The following is a 16,606-nucleotide window of genomic DNA, read 5'->3' as shown; positions in this document are numbered from 1 at the left end:
TAACAGAGGATACATAGGTACTCTATAGGGAGTCAAGTTCCCAGAGAGGGCAATGGTTAAAACCAGCAGCCCAGTTAGGTTAAAGTGTAAATACCCTGCAGTCACCCTGCCCAGGGAATTCTCTCCAAAACACTGCCACTGCCCAGGGCAATATTCATTATCTATCTCCAGATTGGATTACCTGAATAACTTCTTAAATGGTCTCCAGGTCTCCAACCTTAATCTCTACAATGAAGTCATGATGATCTTTTAAACACATTAATGCTATAATAATCTTTTAATAATGCAAGTCTGATTTTGCCACTTCCGGCTTATAAATGTTTTAATAGCTTCCTTTCAGCATCAAGTCCACACTCTTACATTCAAAACCCCCATTAATGCAGCCAACCTTCTCTCTGGGCCACTAGACAGTCTTAAACATACTGAACTACTTGTCTTTCCTACCCGAAGCCAAATTCTCTCAGTTTTTGCATATGTTGCTCCCTCTCCAAATCGGCCTCTTCCTAAAAATGTTCAAGGGTCGTTGACTACATGCTATTTTGTTTTAGGCACAAACATTAAAATATTGTTCCTGCATAAAATAGGACTTCACTATAAACAAATACATATTTTACCTCAAGATTGTATCCTCAGAACTTTAAGTCTTTTTCTTCCCTTTCCACTGATCCACACCTCCATGCCTCTGAACTGGGACTCATAGTTTGATTTGACTCTTCTTTGCACCTTTTTGATGATTTCTATATTATATACTGGTGTTTTGCATCCGAGCTAATTTGTCCACAATGACAAAATGGGCGATCCCACATTCCTAATATTTCCTCTGCATTCCACTGCTTGGTTCCTTATATGCAGTAAATTATCACATTTTTTTTAGATGGGGGTCTAGCTCTGTCACCCAGGTTGGAGTGCAGTGGCACAATCCTGGCTCACTGCAACCTCCGCCTCCCAGGCTCAAGAGATCTTCCCATCTCAGCCTCCCGAGCAGCTGGGACCATAGGCGTGCACCACCATGCCCAGCCAACTTCTTTTTTTTTTTTAATTTGTGGAGATGGGGGTCCCGCTATGTTGCCCAGGCTGGTCTCAAACCCCTGACCTCCAGCAATCCTCCTGCCTTAACTCCCACACTATTGGGATTACAGGTGTGAGCCACAGTGCCTAGCCCTCATACTTTTGAGAAAAAAAAATTCCTATCATGGGGCTTTACAACTGTTATTATTTTTTAATTTCCAAAAATAAATAATGTATTACTAGTTATGGTACTGCTCATGTTCACGATCTTAATTCTGAAGAGAGTTAAATGCTTCAAGAAGAGTGGAGCTCCCTTCTCCTTAGCAACATGCTTATTTTCTAATAGCAGCCTTTGGCAGACAGTGCTCCCACCTTTTCAATGACTGTTGTGGGAATTTCAAGTTTGGCAGGAGGACAGAACAATATCCTGGCAGATGAATTCTGCATCCTTCAGATCGTATGATGTCCTAAATAAGACAACTGACTTCTCTACCCACTCACTTTCTCGGGGACATTTACTGAGGGCCTATAAACTGTGCCAGGCATTGTTTAGATGCTGTAAAACAGATCAGTATGACTTGGTCCCTGTCCTCAAAGGAATCTAAAAACAGTCGTAAAAGACACCTATGTAAACAATTAAAATGAACAGGATGAATGCTATAACAAAGACATTATTGAAATTTTGTAGGAGTATTGAAAAAGAACAGGTAACAAGAGGGCTCAAGAAAGCTTCACAAAGGGGGAACAAGCTGGTCTTAAAAGGTAAAGAGAAGTTTGTCAGGAGTAGAAGGGATGGAAAAGCATTTCAAATAAAAGGAGCAGCTTGTACAAAGCAGAAAAGTGTGTGCCAAGGAATGATATGAACTCATGAACTTCAGTGTGAGTGGACTATAGGGAACAGTGTTATAAAATGAAGCTGGAGAAGAAGGTTGGCCTGAGATTGCAAGGGGACCAAAAATTCTGTTAAGAAGCTAAGCATTTTGACCAGCAGCAGACAGCCCCAAACATTTTCAAGCAGGGACATCACATGAGAACCAGTTTTTGGACAGTAACAATGTAAGTTATTAATGCCATCAAGAAAAGGAATAAAGGCATAGAAAGTTAACCTCTGAGTATCCTCTAAGTATCTGCAGCCTAGTTATATCATTTGATTTCACAAGAATGCTATAGGAGAAGCTTTTAAGGTCTTTATTTTAATAGTTAAAGAAATGGAGGCCGGGCGTGGTGGCTTATGCCTGTAATCCCAGCACTTTGGGAGGCCGGGGTGGGTGGGTCACGAGGTCAGGAGATTGAGACCATCCTGGCCAACATGGTGAAACCCCGTCTCTATTAAAAATACAAAAATTAGCTGGGTGTGGTGGCAGGCACCTGTAGTCCCAGCTACTCAGGAGGCTAAGGCAGGAGAATCACTTGAACCTGGGAGGTGGAGGTTGCAGTGAGCCGAGATTGTGCCACTGTACTCCAGCCTGGGCGACAGAGTGAGGGAGGAAGGGAAGGAAGGAGGGAAAGGTGAGAAGGAGGGAGGGAGGGAGAGAGGGAGGGAAGGAGGGAGGGAGAGAGGGAAAAGGCTCACAAAAATGCTAACCTTCTGAAATTCATACCTGCAAAGGGCAGGCATTTCTATTTTGGGGGGCCACCACCAGTCAGAAAACTGGCTCAATGAACAACGGGTCCAGATCTATCAAAGCATTGCTTATATTCTAATGAATTATTCATTCTCATTTTGTATATGATTAAACTAAAATTAGAAAACTGATGTGTTCCAACACAGAAAGGCTCTTCATGACTTTATGACTGAATTTGTGAAAAACATTTCATTACATTTGTAAGATAGTAATATTTTATACATACATTTGTATCTAATGAACTAAATTTACCTAAGCTGCTATCCATAATTTAAACAGGAACGCATAAACACATGATGAATCCGCTATCACCTTCTAAATCAAAAGACTTTTTCATTTGCATCAGGAAGCTTTTGAAACTATTTATCTAAGACTAAGAGTACATTCTGAGATGATTTTGTTGTTGTTATTGTCTTTAAACTATGGTATACCATTGTGTAGGGCAGAAGAATTTGAGTGGCTGGGAATTTTGTTTTTATTTTTAAATTTTCCAAAATAGTACAAAATAAGTTAACTTTGCCACAACGTAATAACTGAATAAATGCCTGTTTATAGCACCTGGAGCAAGATAAATAAGAACTCAGTAAATATTTTCAAAATTGAGCTAAGAATTATGATGTAATTCAACTGTGACTTCACAACAGGAAAACATTCTTTTTATAATTTTGTTTTATAATGTTATATAATGTATAATGTTTTATATTGTAGTTTTGCTCATATAAAATTCATTTATATTTTCTAGAAAAAGCATAATGTTTTAAACACTAACCATGTGACTCATTATTATAATTGCTAATATTGGCCTACTTTGATTATTCTCACAAATTTCATTAGACTTGGAGAAAGCACTCCATCGCCCTCTTGTGGTAATTTTGCTGTACTATATTCGCCAAGAGTTCAAAAAAATGAACTTTTTCTTTCCACTTAAAAGGCAGAGCAGTACTTTAACCATAAACTTCTGAACTTCCAAAGGCCGTATATAAACTTTCTGTCCTCCACTGTCCATATACTTTGTGCCTTCTCTTCGGTTTCTACCTCAGAAATTTAGTCTTTTCGTTGCTTTTTACAAAACATTCTCCTGTTAGCTTCCAATTACCATACCAATAGCATTTTTCTGAAAATTACTTTCTGTATTCAAATGCACAAAGTAATTACAGAAAATCTTCATCATCATACATAGGCTTTAAATAAATAGAAATAACTCAAAAATGTATGGGGCTGAGCTTAGCATTTTTTCCCCAAAAGAATAGATCATGGTAAGTCAGTTAATAGTCCAGAAATTTCAGAGACTAATAATATTAGACTAAGTGTTTTTTAGTAGTCCAGAAATTTCAGAGACTAATAACATTAGACTAAATGTTTTAAGTTTTTAGAAGTAATGAAAGTCTTTCCTCTAAAATAGTCTAACTCATATGCCATGGCCTGTCCTCTTTCCAACACAATAGAAATACTTCTAGCTTTTTTTTTTTTTTTTTTTTTTTTTTTTGAGACAGAGTCTCACTCTGCCACCCAGGCTGGAGTGTAGTGGCACCATCTTGGCTCACTGCAACCTTCGCCTCCTGGGTTCAAGTGATTCTCCTGCCTCAGCCTCCTGAGTAGCTAGGACTATAGGTGCCCACCACCACGCCTGGCTAACTTTTCTTTTATTTTTAGTAGAGACAGGGTTTTACCCATCAGGTGATCTTGATCTCCAGGATGGTCTCGATCTCCTGACCTCGTGATCCGCCCGCCTCAGCCTCCCAAAGTGCTGGGATTATAGGCGTGAGTCACTGTGCCCAGCCACTTCTAGCTTCTTAGCAAAATTAGTGACATGTTAACACATGCCACTATAAAATAGACTGTATAAATAACGTTTTCTAAAAATAATTTATAAATAATTTATTTAGTATCTAATATATTTAAACACTGTGAAAAATACAAAAACAAAGATGGATTCCTACTTAATTAACTAAAAAATTCACTCTTACAAATCTCAAAAATATTCTTAAAAGAATAATGAGTGACCATTTTTTTTTTGGAGACAAGGTATCTCACTCCTGTTGCCCAGGCTGGAGTGTAGTGGTGCAATCACAGCTCACTGTAGCCTCAACTTCCTGAGCTCAGATGATGCTCCCACCTCAGCCTCCCAAGTATCTGGGACTACAGGCTCATGTGCCACCATGTCTGGCTAATATTTTATATTTTTAGTAGAGATGGGGTTTTGCCATGCTGCCCAGGCTGATCTCAAACTCCTGGGCTCAAGTGATCCTCAGGAGCCACCGCACTCAGCTATGATCAATTCTTAAAGCTATCACATTGTGAAAAGTGGCCCCTTGGGTACTCAATCAGCATTCATCTCAAAACTGATGAAGAACGACTAGAAATTAGAGGGCTAGGTGAAGAAGTACATTCTGTACAGAGTGGTAAGAACTTTCAAAAGCATGGTAGTATGCCATGTCTTGGAAACTGAAGATGGTTTAGTGCAACCAAGCACAGATTATAAATTGGGTGAAGCAGGAGATGAGGCTGAGAAGTTAGTAGGGGCCAAAGTATAAAAGGTCCTAAATGATTTGTTAAGGAAGGGTGGGATAGTCAAGCATCCACAGCAGAGGAGTAAAGCAGCAAATCAGAGTTTGAGAAAGATCACTTGCTGCTGGCCAAGCATGAGAGCTCACACCTGTAATCCCAATGCTTTGGGAAGACAAGGTGGGAGGATCGCTTAAGCTCAGGAGTTCGAGGGCAGCCTGGGCAATATAGTGATATTCCACCTCTACCAGAAAAAAAATAATAATAATAATTCCCAGCTACTAGGGAAGTTGAAGTGGCATGATCACTTGAACCTTGGAGGTTGAGGCTACAGTGAGCTATGATTGTGCTACTGCACTTCAGCCTGGGAGACTGGGCAACAGAGTGAGATCCTGTCTCTCTTTTTTTTTTTGAGATGGAGTCTCGCTCTGTCGCCCAGGCTGGAGTGCAGTGGCGTGATCTTGGCTCACTGCAAGCTCCACCTACCGGGTTCATGCCATTCTCCTGCCTCAGTCTCCCAAGTAGCTGGGACTACAGGCGCCCGCCACCATGCCCGGATAATTTTTTGTGTTTTTAGTAGAGACAGGGTTTCACTGTGTTACCCAGGATGGTCTAGATCTCCTGACCTCGTGATCCGCCGGCCTCGGCCTCCCAAAGTGCTGGGATTACAGGCGTGAGCCACCGTGGAAAAAAAAAAAAGAAAAAAAAGAAAGATCACTTGCTGTAGTATGGAGGTATGGGGGACAGACTGAAGGAGGGGAAAGGAGACAGGGAAATTAGAAGTCATTTGTAATGAAGAGGTCATGAATCAAAGCAATGGCTCTGATGACACAGAGAAGAAATTTGAGAAATAATAAAAAGTAAAACCATTAGATGTTAGTTACTGTGAGAATGTGGGGCGTGGGGTCTAAAAGTCTACATTCTAGCTTTGGTGACTGAGTGGATGTGCAATTCCCAGAGATAGGAAATGGTTATTTTCAGACATACTGGATTTGAGGTGCCACCAGGAGATGGCAAATAGATCACTCAGTTGGAGAGAAAGATCTGTAAATTATCGATAACTAAGTAATGAAAGGAACCTGGATGAGAGATCACCCAGGGAGAGCATAAAGAGTGAGAAGAGATGAAGGCTGAGTCTGAGATTAGCAACATTTAAGTACAGTCCCATTTTCCTGTTAAAAGGGGTACTTTTTTTTACATAATCATAAACTTTGTTCATGTTGGGAGAAATAGGAAATGATTTAGTCTTTCTTCATTTTGCAGATCAGAAAACTGAGGGTGTCAAAGAGGTTATGTGACTTTATTTAAAGCTGTTAATCTGTAGAAGTCAATGAGAACTCAGGTTTCCAAACTGAGGCCAGGCAGTTCCATCCTGCTGCTCAAATGCTCTTTCTAGTACTGTGTCCTTCTTCCCCTATGCTACATAAACTGTAAGAACAAGAATTGGAAGATGCTTTCTTCAGTAATTGTTTGATGGCAATAAATGTTTCTGTGGTTGTTATTTGTACATATCATCAAAACTAAAATGTTATATTTCCAAGGATAACCTTCCAACAATATAGTTGTTATTAAATAAGACCCAAATTTACAATTTAACACATGCTTCCTATTCTGGGAAACAAGGAAATGCCCAATCCTACAATTATGAATAGCAAATGCGACTGTATCAAATACACACAAAGAATGTTTATGAGATGTCTCAGAGAGAAAAATAGCTATAGTTTAATCCTGATAGTCCTTTCTAAATCTTAGGTTATTGAGAATGGGTTTTACCAGTGAATTCTACCATATATCCCAGAACACATTTTCATAATGAAACTCATTACGAAAAGCAAGACGCAAGAGATTTCTCTGGGCTACCTCCTTGGTTTGGCCGTTGCCAGCTTGGTGACTTGATGACGCCAGTGGATCCTACAGGCTTGAAGGCAGCTGCAGCTGTGAGGCTGGTAACCCCTGGTCTGCCAGAGGTTGGGCTGTCCAGGCTCTCGGGCATGCTCCGTGTGGAAGCTACCGAGGAAGCCAACTGCGGAGAAGGCTCCTGAGAGTTACTGTAAAGGAAATAAAGAAACATCTTTGGTGAAGTGGTAGCAACGTAACTCAGCAATAATCCTTTCTTTTCAAAATCCATTAATCAATCAAAATCCATTGATTAATCAATTCTTTAGAAAAGAAAATCTTTGAAGTCATGACTGAGGGATTGCCTCTCTTTAAAACTGAAAAAAAGAAAAAGGAGTCAGATTGCATTTGTTTCATACTTTGAAAATTCTTTCTAAAAGGTCTACCATGAGAAATTAGGCTACTGAAAATTTACACAGTTAATCATTTTAAATGATAAAAGTCTCCCTGACACCTCAGCCCTTACCAGTTACTCTTTTTCTTCTTCTACTTTTTTTTTTTTTTTTTTTTTGTAGACACAGGGGTCTCACTATGCTCCTCAGGCTGGTCTTGAACTCCTGGCCTCAAGCAATCATCCCACTTCAGTTTCCGAAAGCACTGGGATTACAGGTGTGAGCCATCATTCCCAGCCCAGTTACTCCTTCTACTCACATACTCACTCATTCATAAATATTTAAGCACCTACTATATGCCAAACGTTGGTTGTGCTATGCACTGGCCACAAAACAATAAACAAGAAACAACCCTTGCCTAACAGAACACCCAGTGTTATGCATTCATAATAAAGGGAAAAAAGAGACAAGACTGCCATTATCTTCTCTCAACCAAGAGTTACCTGTTTAAACAGCAGGTCTTATCTATGCTAGTTCCAGTTTGGTTTTGAAGATCATATGGCCTTTATTACCAAGTCATTTGTGATTTATAACTACATATAACATCATTTCCAAAAAAAAAATAATAATTCTAGGTAGCCCAAATTATAAAATATATGCTTTGGTATGATATAATACTATAGCAGTGGTTATTTCTTTCAAGTAAAGTATAATAACAATTCTTAAAAGTAATACTTTCAGGCTGGGTGCAGTGGCACATGCCTGTAATCCCAGCACTTTGGGAGGCCAAGGCTGGCAGATCACCTGAGGTCAGGAGTTCGAGACTCATTTCCTCCAGACTTGGTCCCATGCACCTTTTTCCTTTGCTAATCTTGCTGTGTATTCTTTTGCTATAATAAATCTTAGTCAGGAGTGCAACTATATACTAATCCTGTAAGTCCTTCTATCGAAACAATAAACCTAGGAGTGGTCTTGGGGCATCTCTGACACTAAACAGTTTTGAAAAACAGTAAGAATGATTTTCTTGAAATATTGCTCCCTATTCTTGTTCTCTCAAATGCAAGTGTCATAGAGCCATCAGCTTTTATTATTTTTGATCAGTTTAACTTAAAAAACTAAAACCTGTTTGATGATAAAACACGCTATACAATAAAAAACTTTAAGCACTTTAATAATCTTTATCATAAATAAAAAGTCAAAGACTGCCTCCCTCATGGGAATATTGAACACAATTATCAGTAAAGGCAACACAACAAAAAGCATTAATGGAATCAGGGTTTGAAATTACAATATAGTGGTTACGAGCATCTTTTAAAAGCACTGTGGTGGACAAATTATTTTACATCTCTAAGCCTCAGTTACCTGTACTTTAAGTGTACCGAGTAACATTTTGCTCATAAGATTTCTACGAGGCTTAAATAAGATAATTATGTATAAAGTGCTTAGCATACTCTAAGGCACAGAATATAACCTTAACATATTAAAAGGATAATTACATAATTACCATATTCAAATAATAAAAGTAAGCCTTATTTTCAACATTTTTACTCATTACAAATAAATGATTTTTGAAATACTTATATAGAGGTCATTTTCATTCTGGGATTAAATTACCCTTGCGGATTTGATTTTTAAAACTAATTAATAATGTATATAATCACGGTTCTAAGAAAAAAAATTATGACCAAGCAATGCTAGGAATTATAGATGAAACAAAAATATATAGTCTGGAAATAACAAAACCCAATCCATCACCATTTAATGTGTAGTCATCTGAAAGAATCAAAATTTAATTCCAGGAGAGCTGCCAGACAAACTGACTTAAAAGAGAGGAATTCAGTGTCAAGCTTAATATAGTTTGGGTGAAGGAACTGGTAATAGTAGCCCAGGTTATGAAAAAACCTAGAGAAGCATGACAGCCATCCTCAAATGTCTGACCTGCAGATTCACTCTATGTAACTACATTGTTTGCCTAATTTCAAGGAGTGAAATCTACAGTGAGATGGATTTGCTTCAATAAAAGGTGATTCCTAATATAAAAAAATCCTCCAAAGGAAAAAAATCTGTTCCTAATGAGGCTTTCTGTGAGAGCCCTGTCACCAGAAGCCACTTAAGCAGAGGATGGAATGCCGCACAACGAATTTAGCCATTTAGCCTGTGGAAGGCTCAGTTATATTTCAGCATGACATACAAAGCCTTCTAAGATAAAGCTACAATCTACCAGTCTAATCTTATCTCCTATCACTATGCTATACAAACTATATTCTGGCCACCCCTACTGTCGTCCACAATTCTACCTTTTTTTTCCAGATTCTATATACGAGGTACCTCTTCCTACTCTCTCTCTGCACCCATCCACATCTTATCCATAATTAATAATAATAGAAGTAAATATAATAACGCATCATGCACTGTGTTCAAATTAACATACATTATTTTGTTTAATTATTGAAGCCTCCAGCAGTAGAGACACTCTTTTTAATTCAGGACATTCGTTAACTGCATGGCATATAATTTTATGCTGATTTGTAATAGCTGTTTTAAAATTACTATTAATAGTCACTTCTTTATGCATCTTGTCTCCTCCACTTCATTATAAACTACCTGAGGTTGGGGACTTTACTGTGACTGTGGGTAAATTATTTAAACTTGGTAAATTTCCTCACCTGTAAAATGGTATAAAAATACTACCTTTATCCCAAGATTACTGTTAAGAATTAAATAAGATATGAGATAATACATGCAAATTACTTAGCACAGTGCCCAGCAGAGAGTATATGCTCAGGAAATAAAAAGGATTCTTACTTCTACATCCTGTAATATCTGGTCTGGTGATAATAAAATTAGCAATAAGTACATTTACTAAATAAGCATCCTTCATCTGCACTAAGAATTTTGCTTCTAAATGTACTATGGATCACTTGGGTGCAGGGTATTGACCCCAGACAAAATCTTGCTTCCTCAATTCAGTTTTAAAAACACACAATACTTCTTAAAGTTCCCACAGAATAAGTATCATATAAGCTAAAGAAATTTCAATTTTTGATTGTACCTTTTGTACACAGGTTTGTATACGTTCTCTCTCAGAGGCCTAAGATGTTTAAATCTTAAACAGTACTCTTTAGCTACAAAGGGCTTGGAGTAGACTATAAAGAATTCATAGAAATCTAAGTTATTACCAAGGCAGTTTTTCCATTTATGCTTAAATCCAGAATTGATCTGAAGTTCAATTTTCTCTGAGGATAAAATTTAATTGAACCATTTAATGTTGTAATGGAAGAATATTAGGGTTTATCTAGACAATCATATATCTGAATATATGATGCCCAATCCCCTAAAAATCTAACATTTTTTCCCTAATTTTAACTATTAGCTACTATTTAAAGAGCATACATAAACATTTGGTATTGGCTGGGCACAGTAGTTCATGCCTGTAATCCCAGCACTTTAGGAGACCAAGACAGAAGGACTGCTTGAGCCCAGGAGTTCAAGACCAGCCTGGGCAACACGGCAAGACCTTGTCTCTGTAAAAAAACAAACATTGTACTAAAGATGAAAGGATTGGCTGGGCGCGGTGGCTCATGCCTGTAATCCCAGCACCTTGGGAGGCCGAGGTGGGCGGATCACGAGGTCAAGAGATGGAGACCATCCTGGACAATGTGGTGAAACCCCGTCTCTACTAAAAATACAAAAATTAGCTGGGTGTGGTGGTGCATGCCTGAAGTCCCAGCTACTCGGGAGGCTGAGGCAGGAGAATCACTTGAACCCGCGAGGCGGAGGTTGCAGTGAACTGAGATCGCACCACTGCACTCCAGCCTGGTGAAAGAGCAAGACTCCGTCTCAAAAAAAAAAAAAAAAAAAAAGGATTAAAAGTCACTGGCCATATTATTTTATATGTAGGAATAAAATATTATCAATAATCACTAGCAAGAAACTTCTAATGATTAATGTATTAATATAGTATAGCATTGTTACTTAAATTAGATTGCTATTTTATTTCTGAACTAATGATTCAAATATATTTTCTAAATTTAAATTATTTAAGGTGTAACTAAATCCTAAATAAAATTTAAATGTTTTCTAAATAATTCTAATGAGGAAATTGGTGTAAATCCATAAATACCCTTGGCTGATACCACAGATACTGATATTAAAATATGGTTATTTTCACTAATCTACCAAATAAACAGGGACTGAAATGAAATAATAGATTGATATGACTTCTATCTTAAGAATACCAAGGTTTTTGTTTCATTTTTTCAAAAACTGAAAATAGAGACAAGTACACTAATAGAGCAAAAGTTTATTTTCAAGATGGAGCTAATGAGGAAAAACGAAAAGGAAGAAAGTTAACCTCAGTGTCAGCAACCTGATTTATCTTGAGTTTACATTCCTTTCCCACATTTGTTTAACTGTTGCAACAAATAAAGCTCAGATACAGATTAAGAATACTTGGGAATTTTAAGTCCATTTTCAAAGGAAAAACTCTGCTTGAAGAATACTTTTCAGAGTAACTTATTCTAATTACATGTTTAAATTTTTTAAAAGACAACTGTACATCACAGGTTTAATTATCAATGTTTAAGTTAAACAGTTTTTGGCTAAAGTCTTATCAAAAAATGGTATACTAATATACAGATTCTGAAATGGCAGGAAAGGAATATTTCTGGAAAGGCCTTAGTTACAAGCAATTGTTTATTTTATAGAATTCCTCTGTCAGAACGCCTTTAAAAGACCTGGACATGTAGAGAGGGTAATGAGTGTCTTTCCTTCCAGAATTCTATATTTAGAAGAAAATTTTTAATATTTTCCTAAGCAAAATTCTTTAACTTAGAGTTTGTAAACCAAAATTTAAAGTATAATATACTAATATATATTATAATGGAAATATATTTTAATGGAAAAATATATTTTAATGGAAAAAAATAAATAAAAACTATTATACTATATTTATACTTTTAAAGATTACTATCACACAAAAGTAAAAATCAAGACAAAATGTCTCTGACACATTTTATGATTACTGTCATACAAGATAAAATATATCTGGTCTTTTGGGTACTCCTCTCACTAAGTTAGCAAGGGTCTCCTCAGGAAACCCCAGAATGCCAACTAGACTATCTTTTTAGAAACCATTTCCCTCTCTCAATATCACACTATATTTTGTCTGTGTCCTATTGTTAATAAGAAGCAATGGTGATGACTACTAATACTCGCTCTAGAGGTGGGGCCATAGATAGCACAGTCAGTCCATAAATGCTTGCACACTTTTGCATGTATATGCACGCAGGCACTTTTCTGGAGAGAGGATCTATAGCTCTTACCGGGTCCTAAAAGTGTGGTCTAAGTGTACTCAAGTACTCAAAGTGTACTCTAAGCATGGTCAGTAACCTGCCTCTGTACAATCTCAGCCCTGACAATGAAAGACTTCTGCTCAATGAACACTCACAATATTCTAATATAATTTCAGGTATTGTCTTCTCTTAGAGAAAAATGTACTATGATCTTTCTCCCTTGTTTAAACACCTCCCTTAAAAGTTACCCAGAATAATAGGTAAATATATATATATTTTTTGTTTGTTTGTTTGCTTTTGTTTTTGTTTTTTGAGACAGAGTCTTGCCCTGTCGCCCAGGCTGGAGTGCAATGGCGCAATTTCGGCTCACTGCAACTTCTGCCTCCCGGGTTCAAGTGATTCTCCTGCCTCAGCCTCCTGAGTAGCTGGGATTACAGGCACCCACTGCCACACCCGGCTAATTTTTTTGTATCTTTAGTAGAGATGGGGTTTCACCATGTTGGCTAGGCTGGTCTCGAACTCCTGACCTCATGATCCACCAGCCTTGGCCTCCCAAAATGCTGGGATTACAGGTGTGAGCCACTGCACCTGGCCCAGGTAAATATATTGAAAAATCTCTATAAGAATGGTTAGAATACAAACATCTAATCAATAGACAGCCTAGTTATATCAGGTTTTCACTTTGCCTGATATATGTTGTACACTTTGCCACTGATTTTACGTTCTGTCAAAAATCATTGTATACAGTTATTTCATTGAGATTATATCTTTAGTAAACACTTGTGATAGTTTTATTTTTATATTATGCCTAAAAATTTCTGGCTTAATCCTTAAGCTTAGGAGAAAAATCTATTTTGGTGTTTAGCATTTCCCAAATACAGTGAAAATTAAGTTGCTTTTCCAAGCAAAACCTTCATATTTAACAACTATAATATGTAGCCAATCAAAATTGATCATTATCATTTTCATTTTTCTAAAAGCTATGTCTTACCAAACATTTGAGGATTCTAATATAGCTATATCCATGCAATGAAAGACAGAAATTCTACTGCAATTTAAATACTTGCACAATTACTCAGAATTGCACACCAAACATCAAGTATGCTAAGGAAAGATGTCACAAAAGGTTAAAAGGTGAGTTAATAATCATAGGACATACTGTGCTTGTGCATTAGCATGCCACTGACATTACAGTTCATTCAAAATTGGGCACAAATCCCTAGAACTCTAGCATGTTCTCACCTGGCCTGTTAATACAGTGGTGGAGTGTTAGAGAAAGCAGTATGCTTAACAGCGAACCACCACTTGCCATATCTGCTCCCACAGTACCTTGTTTTCTTAACATGGATAGAGCCAGTTGATTTCCTTGAGGACTGCAGATAGGAAAAAGCTAAAGGCTTGGAGACAGGGCTGATGCAAAGTGCATCCAGGAGTGAGTGATATCTTTCAGGAGTGTAGAGCCTGGTAAGCATTTAGAAAGAGTTTTAAGTCAAAAATCACACTACCAATAGCAGACAGTAGTTCTTAAGGTCTGTGATTTGAAACATTTCCTTTACGAGAGAGAGGGTGGGGAGAGAGAGGAAGAAGGAGGGGAAGCACAAAGCAGCAAAGGAGGATGAAAGAAGATAAAAAGAAGCACCAAGAGTTTATTCTATCCCTTTACTCATTAATATAACATTGATTAGATTTTCACCAAAATGGTCAAAGCCATCATTTAGAAAGCATTTGAAGCTCTAAAGACTATAGAAATTATCTAAAATCCCCAAACCACGAAAACAAAACCAATTTATTCTTTTTGGGGAAGGACACAATTTTATTTTTTTAGGGGAGAGTAGTCTTCAGATCACCCTTTAAAGGTCGTGGGAGAAGATAAAATCAATAGAAACTTAAAATATTCATTAATACTTTATTGTTTCAAATATAAAACCTGAAAAATGTAAAAACCCAAGTGACAATAAGCACACAACATGTAATAATTCACGCAACTGAGAAATACCATACATAAATGGCAGCAGTGGAGAGATTAAAAGGTGATTTTTTAAGAAAAAACCAGTAACAAATACTGTGAGATTTATCCACAACCTAGATAAAATATGCACTACACAATTAAGAGCTCACAATAGAGCTATGATTGCTTCAAAGGGGCATGTTTTCTTTGAGGTGACTTGTAAGACAGTGAAGAGCGCTGAGATCACATCAGACAGACGCTGTACGTGTAGTTCTACCTGGTTTTTGTAGCAATAACAGCAGACACAGTAGCAGCTGCGCTGCTCAGAACTGCAGCACTATATCTAGCAGGAGAAGAGAAGGTAGAAAAGTTTCGAAAACCTTCGAAAGAATCTTCCACATTTCCTGTGGAGCTGCTTAAACTGACAGGTAGGGAAAGAAAAACAGGAGAGGAACAAAAAGGAAAGTGAGAAAGGGTAGCATAATAAATACAAGAGAGCAACCATTTCATATTAATATCTAAGCATTATAAAAGTGTGAAGTGTAAGAAGTGTAATAGGAGTTCAGGCCATTTAGTCTGTGCTCCTACGGTTTCTCTCAGAAGCTAAAAGCTGATGTATAATCCTCCATAAAGCTGATTTGGACATACGAATACTCTTCAATGTATTTAAATTCACTGACTGTATTCCTATTTAAAATTACCTCGTATCACACATTTGAAGACTGACTTGCCAACAACTTAGTAGAAAATAAATCTAAACGTGAAGTCTGAATTTCTATAAGCATAGAAAGAAGGAAAATTGTTTTTTCCCAAAAAGTCTCTATACAATGAGCTTTACCTTAGAGACGATATATACTGACAGCGTGACATTTTAATACGACTTATGTTTTCAGGAGAAGCAGGCACAACAGACTGCTTATCAAGAAGGAGCAATATATATTAACATGAAAAGAGATAATTGTTTAAAATATTGAGAGTAAAGCTATGTAAGGAGGGAAAGTACCTTTGCGAAAATAAACCAATGTTACAGTGAATATGATCAAAACATCACCTTTTCTGCTGAGTTCCATATTTCTATTTTCAGTTAGTTCTGTAAGCATTTTTAAATGCAGGTATAGCATTTTATCTTCAGAACTAATAAGTATTTATTAATTAAAATAATAATTTTCCCTTGGCCTTTTAGAAAAGATCAAATGCCTGGACAGGAATGAACATTCTATAATTATGACTGTAGTGATTTTCAAATTGGTTATTAAGTAAAATAAAAAGAGTGTATAAACGTATAGTGTGAAACTTGTAGTCTCTCTTCTTCATTTATGGGTGCAACTTATCAATGAGCATCATCACTACAGTATGACCACTTTTTTCAATGGCCACCTCCAACACAAAGTAATTACGTGGCAAACTCGACCTCTGGTTAATGTGAGCTTAGATGTCTGAAACTGTGAGGGTTGACATAAGTCTCTTTTTCCTGTCAAAAGAATTTGATAAGTCATTCTTCCAATTTCCACAGGCTATAACTTTACAAAAACGATTAGAAAAAAAATTAAGGAAATAGTTGCAAGCTATGTTTTCAAAATGATACAGAATTAAGTAATTTTTCTTTTGGTCTATCTAAGTCTATCCATTAAATTAAACTGTATGGCTAAGTTTTAACAACTGTTAATGAATGGTTAGAAAAGAAAACGTCAGGGTCTGGAGAGAGAAAAGAAAGATGTTATCAATGGCAGAGCAGGGTAGGTAACATGAATGTCAAAGGGAATAATAAAGTTATCATGTGATTCCACTTCTGAGTTTCTGCATTACTCTGCATCTCTGAGACAATGGTTACTATTTGGAGACATAATGGTGAATAATAAGAACTAGAAACTTAGTATATTGAAAAATCACTTAAAAATAAATCAGCTAATTTTTTCTTCTCCAGGAAGAAAAGGAAACGGTAATGAATTTCTTTCATCATATTGCATCACAAATAATAGAAAAGGATTTAGTATCAGC

General features: G+C 37.0%; 1 protein-coding gene across 6 annotated transcripts in view; it reads right to left on the bottom strand.

Annotated features, from left to right (window-relative positions):
* Nucleotides 1-16,606, bottom strand: part of PDLIM5 (PDZ and LIM domain 5) — a 216,282-nt gene that overhangs the window by 43,034 nt on the left and 156,642 nt on the right. For 5 of the 6 annotated variants that reach the window (NM_006457.5, NM_001256427.2, NM_001011513.4 and 2 more), the window contains one exon: nt 6,999-7,186. In NM_006457.5, coding sequence (NP_006448.5) covers nt 6,999-7,186 — 188 coding nt within the window. Of the gene's footprint in view, nt 1-6,998; nt 7,187-13,989; nt 14,122-14,885; nt 15,030-16,606 lie in introns of all 6 variants that reach the window. The other variant, NM_001256426.2, reaches the window with a different exon arrangement.

Source organism: Homo sapiens, chromosome 4, assembly GCF_000001405.40.
Source record: "Homo sapiens chromosome 4, GRCh38.p14 Primary Assembly".
Taxonomy (NCBI): domain Eukaryota; kingdom Metazoa; phylum Chordata; class Mammalia; order Primates; family Hominidae; genus Homo; species Homo sapiens.
This window is presented reverse-complemented; position numbering and strand designations above follow the sequence as displayed.